Source organism: Homo sapiens, chromosome 17 (assembly GCF_000001405.40).
Source record: "Homo sapiens chromosome 17, GRCh38.p14 Primary Assembly".
Classification (NCBI taxonomy): Eukaryota; Metazoa; Chordata; class Mammalia; order Primates; family Hominidae; genus Homo; species Homo sapiens.
The window spans coordinates 76,518,772-76,526,276 of record NC_000017.11 but is presented as its reverse complement, the minus strand read 5'-3'; the positions used below and the strand labels follow the sequence as shown (position 1 = coordinate 76,526,276).

The window sequence follows — 7,505 nt, the reverse complement described above, 5'->3', positions numbered from 1 at the left end:
CCTGGGCAACAGAGCAACACTCAGTCTCAAAAAAAAAAAAAAAAAACAAGGCCGGGTGTGGTGGCTGACACCTGTAATCCCAGCACTTTGGGAGGCTGAGGCGGGCAGATCACGAAGTCAGGAGATCGAGACCATCCTGGCTAACACGGTGAAACCCCGTCTCTACTAAAAATACAAAAAATTAGCCGGGCGTGGTGGCGGGCACCTGTAGTCCCAGCTACTCGGGAGGCTGAGGCAGGAGAATGGCGTGAACCCGGGAGGCGGAGCTTGCAGTGAGCCGAGATCTGGCCACTGCACTCCAGCCTGGGGGACAGAGCGAGACTCCGTCTTAAAAAAAAAAAAAAAGTCAGGAGGTTTTTAAGATTTGGTTCTGGAAATCGCCTCCCAGCAAGGGTACAATAGAGATGAAGGAATCAGAGGCGAGATATCCAGACAGAAGGCAGAAGGGCCCTGTTTGTCCCAGTGCTTTAGTGATAGATCCAAGGATTGAACCTTGAACCTTGACCTTCTTTTATTTATTTATTTATTTATTTTTGAGACGGAGTTTTGCTGTTGTTGCTCAGGCTGGAGTGCAATGGCACAATCTCAGCTCACCGCAACCTCTGCCTCCTGGGTTCAAGCGATTCTCTTGCCTCAGCCTCCCAAGTAGCTGGGATTACAAGCATGTGCCACCACGCCCGGCTAATTTTTGTATTTTTTAGCAGAGACGGGGTTTCAGCATGTTGGCCACGATGGTCTTGATCTCCTGACTTCAGGTGATCCGCCCACCTCGGCCTCCCAAAGTGCTGGGATTATAGGCGTGAGCCACCGTGCCTGGCCTGAACCTTGACCTTCTACACCTGAACACCGGAGGCTGCGCACAGGCAAAGCTGAGGGCCCGGCCCTGCTGCTCAAGTTACATGCGGTGGATCAGCCCTTGGGTGTTTGAGAAAGGAAGACTGCTTTCATCAGCTTTAAACCCCCAACACCTTCCCTGAGCTCTCAGCTCCCAGACCCCTTCCTCAGCCCTCTATCCTTCACCCCATAGTCTGCTGGGTCAGGCCTGCCCAGCCCCCACCCGACGATGGAGGCGGCAGCAGCAGCAGCTCCCTGAGAAGGGACCAGGAGGTCACCAGCCCCGGGTGGGCTGCAGGAGAAGCAGGAAACAGCCTCTGCCCCTTGGGAGTCCTGCGGGCTGCCTGGGAAGACTCAGCTGACACGCAGGAAGAGTCTTGTCTCCCAGACCATGAACTCCTTGAGTGCAGCCTCCGCCTTTGTCTCCTGGGCCTGGCACAGGGGAGGAACTAAGTAGAAATCCAAAGAATCAATAAATAAACACTCTTAGAAAGCAAGACAAATACCCGGCACGGGCCAAGAGTGAGCTGTGTGAACTAAAACAGTGCAGGGCAGAGAGGACAGTGCGGGCCCCGCCTTTCCAGGGAGGCAATGCCAAAAGACAGCGTGCTGGCTCTGGGCCCACACTCCATCTCTCACTGCTATGTGACCTTGGGCAAGTCACGCAGCCTTTCTGAGCCACAGTCACCTCTAACTTATGCGGTCTCTTCCTGCCTCATGTTCACTGCAGGAGTGAACATGAAGCCTGCCTTGCAAGGCAGGTACGAGGAGGAGGAGGATGGACGCCACAGTGCAGGGGACAGTGACTGTCAGGCCATCAGGGCCACGTCGGAAGGCAAAGCAAAAGAAATAGAAGGAACCAGCTGGGCGCGGTGGCTCATGCCTGTAATACCAGCACTTTGGGAAGCCGAGGCAGGTGGATCACTTGAGGTCAGGAGTTCCAGACCAGCCTTGCCAACATGGTGAAACCGTGTCTCTACTGAAACCCTGTCTCTACTAAAAATACAAAAATTAGCCAGGTGTGATGGCGGGCGCCTGTAATCCCAGCTACTCAGGAGGCTGAGGGAGGAGAATCACTTGAACTCAGGAGGCGGAGGTTGCAGCGAGCCGAGATCACGCCATTGCACTCCAGCCTGGGCGACAGAATGAGACTCCGTCTCAAAAAAAAAAAAAAAAAAAAAGAAAAGAAAGAAAAGAAAAAGGAAAAGAAAAGAGGCTGGGCATAGTGGCTCACGCCTGTAATCTCAGCACTTTGGGAGGCTGAGGCAGGAGGATCACGAAGTCACGAGTTCGAGACCAGCCTGGCCAACATGGCGAAACCCCGTCTCTACTAAAAATACAAAAATTAGCCGGGCGTGGTGGCAGGCGCCTGTAATCCCAGCTACTTGGGAGGCTGAGGCAGGAGAATCACTTGAACTCAGGAGGCGGAGGTTGCAGTGAGCCGAGATTGTGCCATTGCACTCCAGCCTGGGCAACAAGAGCAAGACTCTGTCTCAAAAACAAAAAAAAGAAAGAAAGAAAGAAAAGAAAAGAAATAGAAGGAACCCAGGAGAGCTTCTAAGTCCTGGGCCCAGGGCCCCTGGTGGGCCCAGGCAAGCCAGAGCTGGAACCGGAGCCAATGGGGATCACAGAGCCATGGGCCGTAGGGACTATCAGAGGAAAAGGGGCATCTGAGGTCGGGGGTGAGGGAGACGATCAGGGAAGAAAGGCCCCCCTCCTCATTTCATACCACTTGGCTTGAGAATGGTGAAGGGGCTTCTGAACTCATCAAAACTGGAATCCTTCGAGAATGTGGCCCTTCTGGAAGGTTCTTCCTGCTCTCCATTCCCAATAGAGAGGACACTGGCAATTAGCGAATCAGCCAGACCCGGGCTGGGGATGCTACTTGGACCTGGGACAAACAGGATACCCCAGAGGCCTTGCTGGGGGAAGGTGTGGTATTCTGGGTGGGCTATGCCTGGGTGCAGGGGACTAGTGGGTAAGGAGCAACGTCTCGGCTTTGGTTTTGTTCTCTACACCCAGAGTTAGCTATCTCGCCCAGGAGCTGAGCAAGTGGGTCAGCTCCCCGGGCGAGCTGGGGCTGTGAGCGACGCGGGTGTCACGAACCCAGGTGCGCGATGGCTTCTTCCCTGGCAAAACGGTCCTGGCGGCGCAGCCCCACAGCGTCCCCTGCTGGCCGCGGAGGGATCCTCACCCGGGAGCCGCCTCCTGCGCCGCGGATCCCATTACCCTCCTGGGGTGACCACTTGCTCCCTCACTTTCGGGAGCTGCAGCCGCGCTGCAGCCTGAGACCGAGGAAGCTGGAGGAATCCCTTCCCAGTTTATTTGCAGGAGAAGGAAGTGGGGGATTCTCTGTGCAGCCTTGTACACACTCAGGAAAATGTCACCCCCATAGTTGGAACCAAGTGGAAAAAGTTAATAAATGGTCAATTTTTTTTTAAAGAACGCCTGTAATCCCAGCACTTTGGGAGGCCGAGGTGGGAGAATTGCCTGAGCACAGGAGGTCCAGGCTACAGTGAGCTGTGATCGTGCTACTGCACTCTAGCCTGGGCAATAGAACAAGACCCCATCTCAAAACATAAAATAAAGTAAAATGATTTTATCTGGGCCGGGCGCAGTGGCTCGCCCCTGTAATCCCAGCACTTTGGGAGGCCTAGGCAGGAAAATCATGAGGTCAGGAGATCAAGACCATCCTGGCTAACACGGCGAAACCCTGTCTCGACTAAAAATACAAAAATTTGCCAGGCGTGGTGGCACAAGCCTGTAGTCCCAGCTACTGGGGAGGCTGAGGCAGGAGAATCGCTTGAACCCGGGAGGGGGAGGTTGCAGTGAGCTGAGATCATGACACTGCACTCCAGCCTGGGCGACGGAGCGAGACTCCATCTCAAAAACAAAAAAGTAAAATCAATTTCTCTTCATCATTGATATTTTTGTTTTAACATTGATTTTTTTAAGTATTGTATTTCAATATTATTTCTCTTGATTACTAGGCCCCTTAAATTTTGGGCCCCAGGCCAGCACCTCACTCGCTGCACCCTATTCCAGGTTCTGTCTTATTGTAGTGTCTTACTGTAGCACGTTCATGGGACCTCAGCCAAAGAACACTCATTTTTAAATCTTATTTATTTATTTATTTGAGACACTGTCTGGCTCTGTTGCCCAGGCTGGAGTGCAGTGTCGCGATCACAGCTCACTGCAACCTCAAACTCCTGGGTTCAACCGATCCTCCCTCCTCAGCCTCCCAAAGTGCTGATATTATAGACATGAGCCACCGTGCCCAGCACACACTCCTCTTGACCTCCAGAGAGTCGCCCCCACCCACCCACAGGGCAGCAGGTTTCATAGTTGCTCATTGGATGCCTTTGGTAAAAGAATTGATTGCAGCAGAGTATGAGTTTGGACTTGGCCCTTAGGGCTGAAGACACTGGGGCAGGAGCTTTTGGTGGCAAGGAGCAAAGGCCTATTTGGGCTCCCAGAGTGAGGGTGGGGAGGCTGGGCACGGCAGCTCACGCCTGTAATTCCAACACTTTGGGAGGCCGAGGCGGGAGGATCACCTGAGGTCAGCAGTTTGATACCAGCCTGACCAACATTGTGAAACCCGAGGTCAGGAGTTCGAGACCAGCCTGGCCAATATGGTGAAACCCGTCTCTACTAAAAATACAAAAAAATTAGCCAGGCGTGGTGGTGAGCGCCTGTAATTCCAGCTACTCAGGAGGCTGAGGCACGAGAATCACTTGAACCCAGGAGACAGAGGTTGCAGTGAGCCGAGATGGCACCAGGGCACTCCAACTTGGGCGACAGAGTGAGACTGTCTCAAAAAACAAACAAACAAAAAAACAAAAAACAAAGTGAGTGTGGGGAGTGCACAGTAAAGACATACTTGGAAATAAGGGAGTCCAGTCTCTGGGGATCAGGGAAAGCCACATGACCCAGCCTTGCTAGAAGGAGAGACCGGCGCAGCTGCCCAGGAGCCTGGGAACTGAACAGCAGACTAGGGGAAGGCAGCTCCCGGCCCAACCATCTCCTGACCCTCTGATAATTATCAGGGCCCCCATTGTCTTTTGCGCACCCCCACTGCAGCCTTAAGTCCCTGGGACACCACTCATGTTGGGCGGGCTTCTCCACTTTCCCTTCCTTCCATCACGGAGTGACCAGCTCTCAATCTCCTCTGTGAAAAAAACGCTGTAGAAACACTGTTGGATCCAGCCTTTCTCAGCGGCTGGGGTGGACAAAGCTCTCATTGGAGGCCACCCTGTAAGCCTGCCTGGGGCCCACCTGGGGTCTGATCAGCCCTGGCCATGTGGTCCAGAAACTGCCCCCTACTACCGCACCAGTACCAAGGTCCCATTTCACTATTTCCTGGGGGAAGAACGGAGACATCATCCCCCGGGTCTCACTCTGTCTCCCAGGCTGGAGCAAAGTGGCGAAATCTCGGCTCACTGTAACCTCCACTTCCTGGGCTCAAGCAATCCTCCCACCTCAGTCTCCCAAGTAGCTGGGACTATAGGCACGTGGCACCATGCCCGGCTCATTTTTGTGTTTTTTTGTAGAGATGGGTTTTTGCTGTGTTGCCCAGGCTGGTCTTGAACTACTGGGCTCAAGCAATCCACTCTCCTCGGCCTCCCAAAGTGCTGGGATTACAGGTGTGAGCCACTGTGCCCGGCAGTTTTAACTTCTTGATCATAGGTCCTCTCTGCCCCCACCCCACAGCAACCAGTTGCAGTCCTACCAGCCTGTCCGCCCGTCTTTATTTGTTCCTTCCACTGCCCTGGTTGCTTCAGGCCTAAGCACGGGGTGGCCTCCCTGCCTTCCCCAGTCCATCCTGCACAGGCCGCCAGCTCTGTGGCCACCACTGCTCCTGTTCCAGGATCTCCAGTGGCTCCAGGTCACCTCCCAAAGACAGTCCCAGCTCCTTAGCCATCGAGGGCCCCACGACCTGGCGCCAACACACTTGCCTGGTCTTACCTGGCATGTTCTTCGTCACAGATTTGGCTTTCTCTAGCTCCCAGTCTCTGCTCACTCGCCCCCAGGGTCTCCACTGCTGACATGGTCTCCCTTCCTCACGGAGCCTTGAGCCGCTCTGCGCCTCTTTCCCAGAACCTTCTTTGACTCCCCTTCTGGACAAGCCCCCTCCTCTGTGGTGTCCACGTCCATGTACGCAACCTCCCTCTTCTCTCATGGAGGGGTTTGAGAGGAGAAACAGGACCTCATTTAGTCTTTTTTTTTTTTTTTTTTTTTTTGGAGACAGAGTCTCACTCTGTTGTCCAGCCTTGAGTGCAGTGGTGCGATCTCGGCTCACTGCAACCTCCGCCCACTGGGTTCAAGCAATTCTTCCACCTCAGCCTCTCACGTAGCTGGAATTACAGGCACATGCCACTGTACCTAGCTAGTTTTTGTAGTTTTAGTAGAAACGGGGTTTTACCATGTTGGCCAGGCTGGTCTCAAACTCCTGACCTCATAGGTCAGGATCCTCCCGCTTCGCCCTCCCAAAGTGCTGGGACTACAGGCATGAGCCACCTCGCCCGGCCAGTCTCTTTTTAAATAATAGTCATGGGGTCTCACTATGTTGCCCAAGCCGGCCTGGAACTCCTGGGCTTAAGCGATCCTCCCACCTCTGCCACTCAAGTAGCTGGGAATACAGACAGGAGCCACCACGCCCCGTTTAATGTGATTTACTGATGGATGGGATGTGAGGGGTGAAAGAGAGGACAGTTGAGGGGGACTCCAGGGCTTCTGGCCTGTTTAACTTGGCAAACAGAGTCTCCACTTTCGAGGGGGAATAGCCAGGGGAGAGGAGGCTTTGGCAGAGGTTCCGCTTTGTCCACACGAAGCATGAGGGTCCAGGAAGCAACTGGAGGCTCCAGCCTGAATCAGGACAGAGACGTCAGGGCTGGGATTTAAATTTGGGATTGGATGAGCTCACTGAGAAAAGAGTGTGGGAAGAAAAGAGGGGCGAGGACAGAGCCCTGGAGCCATCAGCCCTGAGTCCGGAATAAAGGGACCAGGGAGAGGGAGGATCGGGAGAGGGAGGATTAGGAAGGAGGAGGATCAGGGAGATGGGGGGATAGGAAGGATCAGGCAGAGGGGGCACCAGGGAGGGGCAGCTGAGGGAGAAGGGGGACTAGGGAGAGGGCAAGGAGAGGGAGGACCAGGGAGAGAGGGAAGCAGGGGGAGGGGACGCCAGGTGGAGGAAGGATGTGGGGGGGAAGCCAGGGGGATAGGGGATCAGAAGGAGAAGGTCAGTGGGAGGGAGGATGGAGGAGGGGGCATCATGGAGAATAGGGGCCAGGGAGGGGGAGGAAAACCAGGAGGCTGCAAGGACAGCATTTTGGGCCAGTGGGCAGCTGTGTGGGCACTCTGCTTAGGTCCAGAGCAGTGAGGACAGATGGCAGGGTGGTTCCCAGGACCGTGACCTGGCTGATTCAGAGACTGGAGGGGAGAGGTCTGGGTGGGAAGTATGGGTAAACGATGGTGGTCAGGGAGAGATAGGAGGCTGAGGTGCAGGAGGACATGGGGTCAGGAGAGGGAGATGACAGCCCCTCTGTGTGGCCTGATCCCTGACAGAGAGAGAGAGAGAGATGGCAATGCAGGGGGCCAGGAGGCGGGGGCAAGACTGCTGGAGGGAAGTCCTCAAAAAAGAAAAGGAGGGGATATTGACCGGGTGTGATGGC

At 54.6% G+C, this 7,505-nt stretch overlaps 1 annotated feature.

Moving 5' to 3' along the window:
- Window positions 4,087-4,244: a silencer, noted in NCBI's record as "fragment chr17:74518115-74518272 (GRCh37/hg19 assembly coordinates)". NCBI's record gives its function as "represses an EF-1alpha promoter that drives an FKBP-Casp9 reporter gene in an ReSE screen in K562 erythroleukemia cells {active_cell/tissue: K562}" and the evidence as "EXISTENCE:reporter gene assay evidence [ECO:0000049][PMID:32094911]".